This window comes from Homo sapiens, chromosome 4 (genome assembly GCF_000001405.40).
Source record: "Homo sapiens chromosome 4, GRCh38.p14 Primary Assembly".
In the NCBI taxonomy this organism is placed as follows: domain Eukaryota; kingdom Metazoa; phylum Chordata; class Mammalia; order Primates; family Hominidae; genus Homo; species Homo sapiens.
The window spans coordinates 39,562,253-39,578,533 of NC_000004.12; the positions used below are offsets into that span (position 1 = coordinate 39,562,253).

At 42.9% G+C, this 16,281-nt stretch overlaps 1 protein-coding gene and 1 long non-coding RNA gene across 8 annotated transcripts in view; one reads left to right on the top strand and one right to left on the bottom strand.

Annotated features, from left to right (window-relative positions):
• Positions 1 to 16,281, top strand: part of UGDH-AS1 (UGDH antisense RNA 1) — a 66,869-nt gene that overhangs the window by 34,414 nt on the left and 16,174 nt on the right. The window lies entirely within an intron of this gene.
• SMIM14 (small integral membrane protein 14) overlaps positions 1 to 16,281 on the bottom strand; it is a 92,530-nt gene that overhangs the window by 15,917 nt on the left and 60,332 nt on the right. For all 7 annotated transcript variants that reach the window (NM_174921.3, XM_047449746.1, NM_001317896.2 and 4 more), the window contains one exon: positions 10,163 to 10,211. In NM_174921.3, coding sequence (NP_777581.1) covers positions 10,163 to 10,211 — 49 coding nt within the window. The remainder of the gene's footprint in view (positions 1 to 10,162; positions 10,212 to 16,281) is intronic.

Below are 16,281 nucleotides of genomic sequence, written 5' to 3' on the forward strand. Positions count from 1 at the left end.
TGTAATCCCAGCTACTCGGGAGGCTGAGGTGGGAGGATCACTTAAGCCCAGGTGGTCAAGGCTGCAGTGAATTGTAATCACACAACTGCACTCCAGCCAGGGTGGCAGAGACAGACCCTGTCTCAACCCCCAAACAAACAAACAAACAAACAAACAAAAAATCCCCTCTGCTCTTAACACATCTCTGCTGATCAATGTGGTAACTCAGTTTCCACTGCCTACTGTTTCAACTCTGGGGTTTTTCTGTTTTTATTGAGTCAGTGTCTCACTCTGTCTCCCAGGCTGGAGTGCAGTGGCACAATCACAGCTCACTGCAACCTTTGCCTCCCAGGCTCAAGTGATCCTCTCACCTTAGCCTCCTGAGTAGCTGAAATTGTAGGCGCATGCTGCCATGCCCAATTAATTTTTTTATATTTTTAAAACTTTTTTTATTTTTTAGAGACAGGGTCTCACTATGTTGCCCAGGCTGATCTCGAATTCCTGAGCTCAAGTGATCTGCCCACCTTGGCCTCCCAAAGTTCTGGAATTACAGGCATGAGCGACCCCACCTGACCCTAATTTTTGTATTTTTAGTAGAGACGGTGTTTTGCCATGTTGCCAAGGCTTGTCCCTAACTCCTGAGCTCAAGCAACCCACCCACCTAAGCCTCGCAAAGTGCTAGGATTATAAGCATGAGCTACTGTGCCCAGCAACTCTAAGTTCTTTAGCTCAGCCTTTCCTCATATGATTGGGCCTTACTCATCTAATCTTACCTCTTACCACTTCTCAGAAAATGCATCCTCTGCTCTAGTCACCCCCATACCTCTTCTTTTTTTTATTTTTTTTGAGACGGAGTTTCACTCTTGCTGGCCAGGCTGGAGTGCAATGGCACAATCTCTGTTCACTGCAACCTCTGCCTCCCGGGTTCAAGTGATTCTCATGCCTCAGCCTCCCAAGTAGCTGGGATTACAGGTGCTCGCCTCCACACCCGGCTAATTTTTTGTATTTTTAGTAGAGACTGGGTTTCACCATGTTGACCAGGCTGGTCTCGAACTCCTGATCTCAGGTGATCCACTCACCTCAGCCTCCCAAAGTGATGGGATTACAGGCATGAGCCACCGCCCCCGGCCCCTCTTCTTTCTCTAGCCAAGGATTCCCTGGCCTGGCTATGCATCAGAATAGCCTGTGACAGTATCAACACCACAGATTCTAAGGCACTGCCTAAGACCATCTGATTCAGGAGCAGCTTCGGGGTGGGATCAGGAGCCAACAATATTTTTTAAAAGCTTTCCAAATGAATCTGATGCAACAGTTGAATGCGAACTTGTCTGGCAGCATTTGCCAACTATGCAAATTCAGTCTTCCTGGGGTACTCGTTATTTCCCTGTCTGGCATGTTCTTACAACTAACTCCATTTATTCACCTATAACCTACATCCCTCTTCCATAAAAATCTCCATTTCCTCCACCCACTTTTTCCTCTGCCTTCTCTGGACTAGTATAGCATTTCTAGTTTGAAGGAATGGTTTCCCGTCTCTCCTAATTAACTTTTTAAGAACTGAGACCATCTCATAGCTGTTTGACTGTACCACCTCTTAGGTATATAATCCCTGAGCCTCAAGTTTCTTTTTCTTTTTTCTTTCTCCTCTTCCTCCTCCTCCTCTTCTTCTTCCCCTTCTCTTCCTCTTCTTCTTCTTCTTCTATTATTATTATTTTGAGACGGAGTCTTGCTCTGTCACCAGGCTGGAGTGCAGTGGCACCATCTTGGCTCACTGCAACCTCCGCCTCCCAGTTTCAAGCAATTCCCCTGCCTCACAAATAAAATGCCAAATGGAATATTCACAATGAAGCTGTTAACTTAGCTGGATACCAAGAGGATGAAAAGGTAGAGACAGAGGCTCTAAGAGCTGGCCCATCCTCAGAAGATTATTTGTATAAACTTATATAGGTTTCCGCTGGGGAAAGCAAAAACAGAACAGCAGTGAAAGTGGACAATACACCGGTATGCTCTAACCCTGTAGTTTTTGGTCCTATACAGTAATTACATTATCCTAAGCACAGCTACCAGTTTTCAAGCTGAGTCAAGGGTGATCTCTATCATTCCCTAATGTAGATCTGTTATTCTCCTACAGGCTGAGTATTCCTACTCTAAAAATCTAGAATCCTCCAAAATCCAAAACTTTTTGAGAGCTGACATCATGCTCAAAAGAAATGCTTATCGGAACATTTCACATTTTCAGGTTAGGGATGGTCAACTGGTAAATGAATCTGAAAAAATCTGAAACTGAATACACTTCTGGCTCCAAGCATTTCAAATAAGGGATATTCAACCTATACTTTCATATTGTGTTCTGCGAGGGTGCCCCATAGTGTTATTTCAGATTAGCGTTTTTTAGATAAAGATAACCTGAATGGAAAGCATCCTCTCTTTTGTTTAAAGGATTCTATTAAAAATGAAATACATGACTTTTAAGCAGGGGGCTAAGGGAAGCCTCACTAAGAAGGCACTCTGGAGTGAAAATGTAAAGAAAGTGAGGCTGTCAGTTGTGAGATTATCCGAAAGAAGCACATTTCAGGCACAAGGAACAGCGAGAACTCCTGATTCAGGAGCCTGTGGGATGTTCATGGAGGCCAATGTGGCTGAAGTGAAGTGACCTGGGATTGGTGGTATAGTGAGGTGGGATATAAGAAAAAGATTAAGCTGGGTGTGGTGGCTCACGCCTGTAATCCCAGCACTTTGGGAAGCTGAGGTGGGAGAATCACTTGAGGCCAGGAGTTCAAGACCAGCCTTGGCAACATAATGAGGTCCTATCTCTACAAAATAAAAAACAAACAAAATCAGCCAAGTGTGGTGGCACACACCTGTGGTCCCAGCTAATCAGGAGGCTGAGGTGGGAGGATTGCTTGAGCCCAAGGGGTTGAGGTTGCAGCAAGCCATGATTGCACCACTTTACTCCAGCCTGGGCAACAGAGTAAGACTTTGTCTCCAGAAAAGAAAAGAAAAAGATTAAATCAAAAGAGTAACAGGATTCAGATCATGTTGGCCTTATAGGTCATAATAAGCTTCTATTACATATTAAATAGAAAACCACTGAAGAGGGCTTTTCTTTTTTTTGGACAGGGTCTCACTCTGTCACCCAGGTTGGAGTGCAGTGGCTCAATTACAGTCACTGCAGCCTCAACCTCCCAGGCTCAAGTGATCTCCTAACTCAGCATCCAGAGTAGCTGGGGCATAGGCACAGGCCACCACGCCTAGCTAAGTTTTATATTTTTTGTAGAGACAGGATTTCAACATGTTGCCTATGCTGGTCTTGAACTCCTGAGCCCAAGTGATCTGCCTGCTTTGGCCTCCTAAAATGGGATTACAAGTGTGATCCACTGTGCCCAGACACCACTGAAGAGTTCTGAGCAAAATGCAGATGATATCTGACTCTCATTTTGACAGAACCACTCCATCTGTTGTGTTTTGAAAAACGAGAAACAGAAACACAGTGATATGGTTTGGCTGTGTCCCATCCCAAATTTCATCTTGAATTGTAACTCCCACAATTCCCATATGTCATGGGAGGAACCTGGTGGGAGGTGATTGAATTATGGGGGGCGGGCCTTTCCTGCGCTCTTCTCATGATAGTAAACAAGTCTCACGAGATCTCATGGTTTTAAAAAGGGGAGTTTCCCTGCACAAGCTCTCTTCTCTTGACTGCCACCATGTAAGACATGCCTTTCACCTTCCGCCATGATTGTGAGGCCTCCCCAGACATGTGGAATTGTAAGTCCAATAAACCCTTTTCTTTCGTAAATTGCCCTGTCTTGGGTATGTCTTAAATTAGCAGTGTGAAGACTGACTAATACAGACAGTTAAGAACCTGTTGCAATAATCTATTAACATACGAGATGATGATGGCCTAGAACAGGGAGGAGGCAGTGGGATAGTGAGAAGTGGTAGAATTTTGGATGTATCTTCAAGATAGTGCTTGCTGATAGATGACTGGACAGTGTGAGAAAAAGGGAAGCCAAGGATGAGTCTCAGAAGGATAGAACTGCCATTAACTGTTATAGGAAGGATCTCAAGAGAAGCAGAAATTCTGAAGATGTTGAATTTGAGGTGCCTTGTTAGACATCCCAGTGGAAATGCCCAAAAGACAGTCATCAGCATACAAGTAATGAGTCATGAGACCAGATGAGATCACCAAGTGAGTGAATGTCTAGAAAAGGAAATAATCCAGGGGCTAAGTCCTGGAGCATTCCAAGGATAAAAGTTAAGAGGTCTGGAGGACAGACAGACGCACCGAGAAAGAAGACAGCAGATAGCCGCAATGCAGCCAGGCACAATGGCTCATGCCTGTAATCCCAGCACTTTGGGAGGCTGAGGTGGGTGGATCACCTGAGGTCAGGAGTTCAAGACCAGCCTCGGCAACATACAGAAACCCTGTCTCTACTAAAAATACAAAAATTAGGCCAGGCGTGGTGGCTCACGCCTATAATCCCAGCACTTTGGGAGGCCATGGCAGGCGGATCATGAGGTCAAGAGATCGAGACCATTTTGGCCAACATGGTGAAACCCTGTCTCTACTAAAAGTACAAAAATTAGCCAGGCGTGGTGGCGTGCACCTGTAGTCCCAGCTACTCGGGAGGCTGAGGCAGGAGAATCGCTTGAACCTGCGAGGTGGAGGTTGCAGTGAGCTGAGATTGTACCACTACACTCCAGCCTGGTGACAGTGTGAGACTCCATCTCAAAAAAAACAAAAAACAAAAATTAGCTGGGGATGCTGGTACACGCTTGTAATCCCAGCTACTTGGGAGGCTGAGGCAGGAGAACTGCTTGAGTCCAGGAGGTGGAGGTTGTAGTAAGCCGAGATTGCGCCATTGCACTCCAGCCTGGGCGACAGAGCAAAACTCCATCTCAAAAAAAGAAAAAAAAAAAAAAAAAAAAAAAAAAGGAAGCCGCAATGTGACAATAGGAAAAAAATGTGACATGGGAAATATGGAGAAGATTTAGTTATTAAAGGCTGAAACTAGATAATTTCTCAGATTACAACTTTATCAGGAAGAAGCAGAAGGCTAAGAATTGTATGCTAAGTACTCAAAATGGGCCAGGTGTGGCAGCTCATGCCTGTAATCCCTGCACTTTGGGAGGCCAAGGCAGGTGGACTGCTTGAGCTCAGGAGTTCGAGACCAGCCTGGGCAACATGCAAAACCCTGTCTCTACAAAAAATACAAAAATTAGGCCGGGCATGGTGGCTCACACCTGTAATCCCAGCACTTTGGGAGGTTGAGGTGGGCGGATCACGAGGTCAGGAGTTCGAGACCAGCCTGGCCAACATGGCGAAACCCCATCTCTACTAAAAATACAAAAATTAGCCGGGTGTGGTGGCAGGCGCCTATAATCCCAGCTACTCAGGAGGCTGAGGCAGGAGAATCGCTTGAACCTGGGAGGTGGAGGTTGCAGTGAGCTGAGATCATGCCATTGCACTCCAGCTTGGGCAACAAGAGCAAGACTCCGTCTCAAAAGAAAGGAAAAAAAAAATTAGCTGGGCATGGTTGTATGCTCCTGTAGTCCCAGCTACTCAGGAGGCTGAAGTGGGAGGATTACTGAGCCTGGAAGGTCAAGATTCAGTGAGCCCTGTTTGCTCCACTGCACTCAAGCCTGGGTGACAAAGTGAGACCCTGTCTCAAAACAAAACAAAAAACAAACAAAAACACCCCAAACCATATTCAGTGCCAAATGTTAAAGCCCAAATAGATTGTATAAATAAGAACATACAGGCCGGGCGCGGTAGCTCACGCCTGTAATCCCAGCACTTTGGGAGGCGGAGGTGGGTGGATCACTTGAGGTCAGGAGTTTGAGATCAGCCTGGCCAACATGGCGAAACCCTATCTCTACTAAAAATACAAAAAATTAGCCAGGTGTGGTAGTGCATTCCTGTAATCCTGGCTACTTGGGAGGCTGAGGCAGGAGAATAGCTTGAGCCTGGGAGGCGGAAGTTGCAGTGAGCCAAGATTGTGCCACTACACTCCAGCCTGGGCAACAGAGCAAGACTCCTTCTCAAAAAAAAAAAAAAGAACATATACATGTATATATTTCTCCACCATTTACTCTTTGGTCTGTGTTTTAACAACATTGACTCTACCTAGCAGCTGCTTCTATGACTAAATGAATAAATGATATTTCTGATATCACAATGATTAAACACTGTTCTAAAACAATGGAATAACACCTATGAAAAGGGGAAGAGTAAAAAAATAAGACAATGGAATATATACAAAATACAACTACAGAAATAAAAGGCAGAAATGAACGAAAGCAACCAATTTAAAAAAGTCAGAAGAGAATAAAACGTATTTCTTCAAGGCTTATTTCAATTCTTAAGAAGCCTCAAATTCCCACGATCCTAAAACATATATTTAATTTTAAAAAATAACTTTTTCCAATTGAATAGTAGCACAATACTATCCAATTGAATAGTAGTATCTAAATATAAAGATAGCTACAAAATATGTTTTATTATTTTAAGAAAAAAGTATAAGCTCACTGGAGAAAATTTAGAATATAAGAAAAATAATTCTATCCCTCACAGTAAACTACTGTTTAACCATTTAAAAGCCTAGCTCTCAGAAAGGATTTTTACCAACTGCTAAAAGAACTGGGGGGAAAGAAAAACTTGCCAATATGCCTAAATGAATGTTCAAAGTTTCACCTTTCTTTTTAGAGTTAGGAAGTGACATTTTACCCACAGGAATGACTATATTTGGTTATAGGCGGGGCTGGTTAAAGAGTCACAAAAGCCGCACATGTAATAAACACGTGTTTTCCCATGGGGAGGTTCAATAAAATTATTTTCAACTAGGAAAACAGGTTTTAGCTTTACCTGTTGAGGCAAATATTTGAGCTGTACATTGTAGATTAATGAATGCTACTGGAGAAGTAAAGAAGTCTGGAGGGAGGGAACCACCACCCATTGTCCTAACAATGCACATTTCTATTGCTTTCTTGTCTTGAAGGCATATATATCACCCAAATGGACTAGGTTCCCACAAAATTTCTACTTTAGGCTAGGCACTGCACTAGCTCCCACTTCTCTAAGCTGTTATATCTGTGGAATTTGATGGGACACCCAGTACACAAAGTAATAAAAATCATAATGTATAACAAGTCTCTTTACAATTACCTTACTGCGTCTTGTTTCAGTTTCATATATATAATAAACAGGCAGCTCTGCTTCAGAGATGTTACGTATCAGCAACTAACCTACTAATAAATGCAATTTGGCAATATGTAAATAGCCTTAAAATGTGTGAAGAAAACCAGAACGTATCACTCCAAAATATGCCTTTTTGACATAGAAATTATTTTGGAGAAGCCAGGCACGGTGGCTCATGCCTGTAATCCCAGCTACTTGGGAGGTTGAGGCACTAGAATTGCCTGAACCTGGGTGGCGGAGGTTGCAGTGAGTTGAGACTGAGCCACTGCACTCCAGCCTGGGCGACAAAGCGAGACTCTGTCTCAAAAAAAAAAGAAAAAAAGAAAAAAAGAAATTATTTTTGAGCTGTAGGCAATTAGGAAGTAGCAAACAGAAGAAAAGCTCCCTCTATTCCCCTCTTTTCTGCCTAAAGGTAGGATACAAATTCTCCTTTATACACAACCCTACAGACTTAATAGTCCAGAGACAGCACCAGAGGAGTCTATAAACAAACCTTACTCCATTAGTTTCCTCCCAAATATTTACTTTCCCAGTTTCCTATCCTTGGAAGCCTAAAATCTCTTTCCTATGTTCTGCCCTTTTTCCACAAATGTATTGTTCTTTGTTGAAGATGCTACATAAGCCAGAGTTCTGAGCCACTGCTTTGAGTTACTTTGCATTGAGCTTTCTCCCATGTGATGCCACACACATTAATAAATTTGCTTTTTCCTTGTTCATCTATCTTTTTTTTGTTTTTTTTTCTTTGTTTTAGAGAGTCTCGCCCTGTCACCCAGGCTGGAGTGCAGTGGTGTGATCGCAGCTTACTGCAACCTCTGCCTCCTGGGTTCAAGTGATTCTGGTGCCTCAGCCTCCAGAGCAGCTGGGACTACAGGCACGTGCCACCACGCCCAGCTAATTTTTGTATTTTTAGTAGAGACAGGGTTTCCATGTTGGCCAGGCTGGTCTCAAACTCCTGGCCTCAACTGATCTGGCCACCTCAGCCTCCCAAAATTCTAGGATTACAGGCGTGAGCCACCGTGCCCGGCAATCTATCCTTTGTTACAGGGTGTCTCAGCAAAGAACTCTGAGGTTGAAGAAAAAATTATTTGTCCTCCCCAACATATGCACACAAAGAATGTTTATTCAAGTGTTGTTTATAATAGCAAAAAATATATCAGCAACCTAAGGTTCTAGTAAAAGGAAATCATTTAAACGCTGGTGCTTCCCCACAATGAATTATTATTTAATTAATAATTTTTTTTTGAGATGGGATCTCACTTTGTCATCCAGGCTGGAGTGCAGTGGCATGAACATAGCTCACTGCAGCCTCAAACTCCTGGGCTCAAGTGATCCTTCTGCCTCAGCCTCCCAAGTAGCCGGGACTCCAGGAGCATGACACCATGCCTGGCTCAATAAATAGTAAGACAAATATATGTTGATATTTTATAAGTAGTGAAAAATAACATATACAATGTGATCCCATTTCTGTAAGTTTATATGAAATCTAATTATGCCAGGCTTCACCATCTTGTGAATGTCATACTTTCCTTCTTGCAGTCTTCTGATACAAGACTGGATTGGTTTAAATACTATTTTACTAGTTCCCCTTAAAGCATCTCTCAAAATATTTCTGAGTATCCTGAAAAAAGATGTGTCACATAATGGTCACTAAGTCTGTCACCTACATATACCATGCAATATTCATCTTCCTACTGATTCTCACTTTACCATCACTACTGCCCATAAAGCCATGTGGAGAAACTTCTCCACTGCCAAATTCTCTGATGCGCATGTTAATGTCAGAGCCAAAGGAATGAACTCCACAGGCACCCAAAGTTTCCACACATGGAAAAGAATGGCCTCCCCACCAAGAAGTTCTCAAGTGGCTGGGCATGGTGACTCACGCCTGTAATCCAAGCACTTTGAGAGGCCGAGGCAGAAGGATCACTTGATCCCAGGAGTTTAAGACCCATGTGGGCAACATGGGAAGACCGTGACTCTACAAAAAATTCTAAAAAATTAGCCATGCATGGTGGTGCATCCCTGTAGTCCCACCTACTAGGGAGGCTGAGGTGGGAGGATCACTTGAGCCTGGGAGGTCAAGGCTGCAGTGAGCCATGATCGCACAATTGCGCTCAGTGTGGGCGACAAAGCAAGACACTGTTTCTTAAAAAAAAATTTTTTTAAATTAAAGAAAAAAAAAGAATTCTCAAGCCTGCCAACAGATGCAAATAGATGTTAGGGAGAGAGTGAATGGTTTGCGCAAGCAGCTTTGATGTCCCAGTTACACCTGCCCACAGTGCCCTGTTACAGACTTATTTGCCAAGAAAAAAAGACTAGGATATACCCGAATTTGTCAACAGTGGTTATCTTTAACTATTCTGGAAGTTCTTCTATTTTTTTTTTTTGAGACAGGGTCTCACTCCAGTCACCCAGGTTGGAGTGCAGTGGTGCGATCACAGCTCACTGCAGCCTCAACCTCCCCAGGCTCAGGTGATCCTCCCACCTCAGCCTCAGGAGTAGCTGGGGCTGCAGGCATGCACCACCATGCCCCACTAATTTTTGTATTTTTTGTAGAGACAGGGTTTCCCCGTGTTGCCCAGGGTAATCTCAAACTCCTGGACTCAAACGATCCACCGGCCTCAGCTTCCCAAAGTGCAAGGATTCCAGGTGTGAGCCACTGCACCCAGCCTTTTTTTTTCCTTATACTTATTTTATAATGTTCTGCAATAAGCAGGGTTTTTGAGGCATGAAAAAAATTTTAAGTTAAAAAATGAAATAGTCAAGTAGCAAATACATTACTGAGAACCATTTTCTTATTAAAGAGCAAACTATGAGAATAATTTCTTTTGTGCGTATGTGTCGCTTTTTTTTTTTTTTTTTTTTTTTTTGGTAACCACTAGAATAGGCAATGTAAGAATAAATTCTGACAAATATTCACAGGCATCTGGCCTCTAATTCTGCCCCCAATGCCATCCTTCCTCCTGTCTCAGTGGTACTTACATTCCTGAAGACACTCTGTGTCTGTGCAGTAGGACTGGGACTGCCGTAACTACAATGAATAAGAAAGGGAAGTTAGTGATTAGACTTAAACAAAAGTGGACCATAATTATTAGAAAGATCATGTTTTGGCCGGGTGCGGTGGCTCACGCCTGTAATCCCACACTTTGGAGGCTGAGGTGGGTGGATTGTTTGAGCTCAGACATTCAAGACCAGCCTGGGTAACACAGCAATACCCCATGTCTACAAAAAATACAAAAATTAGCCAGGTGTGGTGGTGTGTGCCTGTAGTCTCAGCTATTAGGGAGGCTGAGGTGGGAGGATCACTTGAGTCTGGGAGGCAAAGGTTGCAGTGAACCAAGATGGCACCATTGTACTCCAGCCAGGGTGACAGAGCGAGACCTTGTCTTAAAAAAAAAAATCATGTTTTCTTTTGTTTTTTTGAGACAGGGTCTCACTCTGTTGCCTAGGCTGGAGTGCAGGGGTGCAATCCTAGCTCACTGCAGCTTCAAACTCCTGGGCTCAAATGATCCTCCTGCCTCAGCCTCCTGAGTAGCTGGTACTACAGGTGTGTGCCACCATGCCTGGGTAATATTTTAAAAATCACTTTGTAGAGATGGGGGTCTTACTATGTTGACCAGTCTAGTGACAAACCATGTTTTGGTTTTTATTATTATTATTATTATTATTTTATTATTATTATTATTTAGTTTCGCTCTTGTTGCCCAGGCTGGAGTGCAATGATGCGATCTCAGCTCACTGCAACCTCCGCCTCCCAGGTTCAAGCGATTCTCCTGCCTCAGCCTCCTGAGTAGCTGGGATTACAGGCACCCGCCACCACACCCAGATAGTTTTTTTGTATTTTCAGTAGAGATGGGCTTTCACCATGTTGTCCAGGCTGGTCTTGAACTCCTGACCTAAAGTGATCCACTTGCCTCGGCCTCCCAAAGTGCTGGGATTACAGGCATGAGCCACCATGCCCGTGACCCATGTTTTGGTTTTTAATGAATGCTGTCACAGAACGTATCTTCAAAATCATACACAAACACAGAATACTCTGAGGGGCTGTCTACTTTTTTTCCTACCCAAAATAATTTTCAAATATACTGTGATCTGTTACAACTGACCCATTTCATTAAATAATTTTAAAAAAATCACCCATGACACAAATTCTTGCTGCCAATATATAATTAGGCATCCCAAAGGGAAAGTGCTAAACTGTAGAGAACTAGAAGAGTAAACCTTTGTTAAAGAGATTTTTCTTCTCATTGAAAATTAGAAGCAGATAAAGAAAAAAAAACCAGATTCTATTTGTAGAAAATGCATCTTTGAAAGGAAGCATAAAGAATCAGTGGTTGGATAGATAAGAAACTAATAAAAGGAGTTACCACAAGGAGTGAAGGTACAATGGGGGAGTAGAGAAGAGTGACAGAAATAGGAGCTGAAGTTTTCAATGTCTGTCTTTTTATATAATTTTAGAATCATGTGATTATCAATTTTAAAAAGAAAGTTAAAAAAGAAAAGTCCCATCTATCTATATTATAAGCCATCCTTTTATAAGCATACAACCTATGCTGAGACCTTTTACGATGTTTAAAAACGAAAATCTCATAAACCTTAAAATAGAGATGAATAAATAGTAAAGACAATGAGGGGCATATAACTTTCCAAGTTAGTCTTATTACTAACTACACCCTCTCCATTAGAGTAGTAATCCACACTTGGAATTGTTTGGGACGGCAACTATGGTGCAGTAGTGCTTAGATGGTTCAGCATGGCTCTGCAGAATGACAGGCCTAGATTTAAAGTCTGGTTCTGCAACTTTCTTTTTTTTTTTTTTTTTTTTCTTTTCTCTTCTTAGAGACGGAGTCTCGCTCTGTCGCCCAGGCTGGAGTGCAGTGGCGCAATCTCGGCTCACTGCAACCTCTGCCTCCCGGGTTCAAGCAATTCTTCTGCTTCAGCCTCCCTACAGGTGCATGCCACCATGCCCGTCTAATTTCTTTTGTATTTTAGTAGAGACAAGGTTTCACCATGTTGCCCAGGCTGGTCTCAAACTCCTGAGCTCAGGCAATCTGCCCACCTCAGCCTCCCAAAGTGCTGGGATTACAGGCGTGAGCCACAGCACCTGGCCCTGCAACTTTCTAAGTTTCAAGACCTTGGGGCAAGTAATTTAACACCTCTAAGCTTCAGTTTCCTCGTCTGGTAAAATGAGGATATAATATCACCTATATCTAAGAGTACTAGTGAGAATTAAAATGGATAACAAATGTGAAATGCAGTAATGACTCAAGAAATGTTAGCTTTTATTACTGTGCCATACAAATTATGACTTCAACTAAACAACTATTGGAATTAACAACTAAACGAATCATTTTGTAAATTATTCTCTAAGATGATCAGGCTTGCTTTGGTGTATACTACTAAAAGTAGTCCTGTTTGGAGCCAGGCCCGGTGGCTCATGCCTGTAATTCTAGCACTTTGGGAAGCCAAGGCAGGAGGATAGCTTAAACCTAGGAGTTTGAGACCAGCCTGGGCAACATGCTGAACCTCTCATCTCTACAAAAAAATAGAAAAATTAGCCAGGCCTGGTGGTAGTAGACCTTGTTTCAAAACAAAAACAAAACAAAACAAAAAAACTAGTCTTGTTTTAATAAGAACGAGAAAATAGTTTTTTTTTTTTTTTTTTTTGAGACAGAGTTTCACTTTGTTACTCAGGCTAGAGATGAGTGGCGCAATCACAGCTCAAAGCAATCCTCCTGCTTCAGCCTCCCAAGTAGCTGGGACTACAGACGCCACATTTTTGTATTTTTTGGTAGAGATGGGATTTTATCATATTGCCTAGGCTGGTCTTGAACTCCTGAGCTCAAGCGATCTGCCAGCCTACGCCTCCCAAAGTGCTGGGATTACAGGCATGTGCCACCAAGCCCAGTGAAGAAAACAGATTTTTTTAAAAAATTAATTTTAATGAAATAGAAACAGGGTCTATGTTGCCCAGGCTGGTCTCGAACTCCTGAGCTCAAGCAATCCACCCACCTCAGCCTCCCAAAGTGTTGCGATTACAAACAGTCATGAGCCACCATGCCCAGCCAGATCTTAATGTAAAAATATGCTGTATATCTTAACCCTTTCTAAATATGAAAGGAGTGAATCAAAAAACTCTTACTAAAATTACACATTCTTATTTTGTTTTTAAGATAGGGTCTTGCTCTGTTGCCCAGGCTAGAATGCACTGGCACAATCTTGGCTCACTGCAATCTCTGCCTCCTGGACTCAAGCGATCCTCCTACCTTAGCCTCCTGAGTGGCTGGACTACAGGTGCACATCACCATGCCCAGCTATTTTTTTTTTTTTTTTTTGTATTTTTGTAGAGATGGGGTTTTGCTATGTTACCCAGGCTGGTCTTGAACTCCTGGGCTCAAAGGATCCACCCGCCTCAGCCTCCCAAAGTGCTGGGATTACAGGCGTGAGCCACCATACCCAGCCTACTTTTTTTTTTTTTTGAGATGGAGTCTCACTCTGTCACCAAGGTTGGAGTGCAGTGGCATGATCTCAGCTCACTGCAACCTCCACCTCCCAGGTTCAAGTGATTGTCCTGCCTCAGCCTACCAAGTAGTTGGGATTACAGGCATGCCCCACCATGCCTGGCTAATTTTTGTATTTTCAATAGAGATGGGGTTTTCACCATGTTGGCCAGGTTGGTCTCTAACTCCTGATCTCAAGTGATCCACTTGCTTCGGCCTCCCAAAGTGCTGGGATTACAGGCGTGAGTCACCATGCTTGGTCTTTTTTTTTTTTCTTTCTTTTTATATAACACGTTCTACAAAGCTTCTGGAATGAACACATATTTTTTAAATGTCAGAGACCCATGCAGAGAATGAAAATAGCATGGTATGACAGAAGGGCAGTTGAGTAGCCACTTTAAATTAGGAAGACAGAGGCAGTGACACTTAAGTGCTATTTACAAGATAGTAAAGATCAAGGGTAGGCACATTTCAGGCAAAGTACATGACTAGGAGGTCCCTAGGTGACAAGGTGCCCTGCCTGTGAGTCAGTATCAAGGAACCAAAAGGCCACTGTGGTTGAAGCGTCTGAGACATGTTACTTAGCTGCTGCATGTAGTTAACCTCAGAACCAAATGCTCTCTACAAAGGCTCAGATCATCACAATGTCATGTTGTAATTTCTCTGACTGCCTCCAACTCTAAGACCTACCAATGTATATAACTTATACCTATGTGTGTGTGTATGTGTATATATATATATATATATATATATTTTTTTTTTTTTTTTTTTTTTTTTTTTTTTTTTTTTTTTGAGACGGAGTCTTGCTCTGTTGCCTAGGCTGGCGTGCAGTGCAGTGGCACAATCTCAGCTCATGGCAACCTCCGCCTCCTGGGTTCAAGCGATTCTCCTGCCTCAGCCTCCCAGGGAGCTGGGATTACAGGCGCCTGCCATCACGCCCGGCTAATTTTGTATTTTCAGTAGAGATAGGGTTTCACCATATTGGCCAGGCTGGTCTCGAACTCCTGACCTCCAGTGATCTGCCCGCCTCGGCCTCCCAAAGTGCTGGGATTACAGTCATGAGCCACCACACCTGGCTGGAATACCTATATATTTTTAACACTGTGGAATAGGAATATTTTTTCCATTATATAATATTTGATATATTTTAACACAAATGTTAAAATTAGCACTTTGGGAGGCCAAGGCAGGTGAACATGACCAGTGTTTTTCTTCAGCACTAATCTCTCCTCCTTCCACCAGGAGGAGGAGGAGGAGGCTTCCCTTTGATGCTAAGTAATGTACAATTTTTCCTGCTATATGAGTATCTATAGAACCAATTACTCACACACAATTGGTAATTAGAGAAATTATGCCAGTTTAATATGGAAGGTGTGTTGGTTCATAAGTGTTTCTCCTAGGTAAAGGGAGCCAGAAAAGCAGGAGTCAAATTATGCCTTTCAGTAGAAAAGAATACAGTTTTTAGCTCACTGCTGGGCAGACAGGAGCCCTTTCAGCCTTTTTTTTTTTTTTTGAGACGGAGTCTGACTCTGTCTCCCAGGCTGGAGTACAGTGATACAATCTCGGCTCACTGCAACCTCCACCTCCTGGATTCAAGTGATTCTCCTGCCTCAGCCTCCCAAGTAGCTGAGATTACAGACCTGCACCATCACACCCAGCTAATTTTTGTATTTTTAGGAGACACAGGGTTTCACCATGTTGGCCAGGCTGGTCTTGAACTCGTGACCTCAAGTGATCCTCCCACTTCGGCCTCCTAAAGTGCTGGGATTTAGGTGTGAGCCACTGTGCTTGGCCTCCTTTCAGTTTTAAATGAAAAATGAGTGCCTTTGTACACGTACTCACAAACACAATCAAGAATGAAAGAAATTATCAGGAGCCTGGCTAAGAGAAGCAACTTCATCTTAGACCAAGCTACGGTAAGTCTTTGGGACATCTTGCCAAGAGCTGGTGTTGGATCCTGCCCTTCTGTGGCTTGACGGCTACATTCCTCATATTCACAAACAGGCTATGCTCTAGGCTCTGAATAATGAAATGCCGAAGTACCACAACCATATTCCTAGTCCAGGACTTAAGGTTTTTGGCAAAGCAGAGTGTGCTGGAATGTATATTCAATGTGTTGAATTCAAACACCTACAATGGGTAAATCGTAGTCTTTTAAAGCATTCAAAAACCATGTGTCCAGTATCCAGTAAAACAGGAGAATTTTAGTTCTGGGAATTTTGTTTGTTTTTTAAGAAACAAGGTCTTCTCTGGTGCCCAGGCTGAAGTGCAGCAGCACAATCATAGCTCACTGCAGCCTACACTTCCCAGGCTCAAGCAATCCTCCCGCCCCAGGCTCCCAAGTAGCTGGTACCACAGGTGTGTGCTACCACACCCAACTTGAGAATCTCACAGTTTTGATGCAACTCTTAAGCAGAGAGGCCTAATTTACAATGTATCTCAATTTTCTCTTGACTTACTTGGAGAAAACATTGGTACCACTGATGTTGATTTTGTCTACTCCAAAGGGAAACAATTTGTAAAAACAACAATTAGAGAAAAACCAAAGATAATACCCACAGTATCTATAGAAATATAGACTTTAAATATCTTCTATATTAT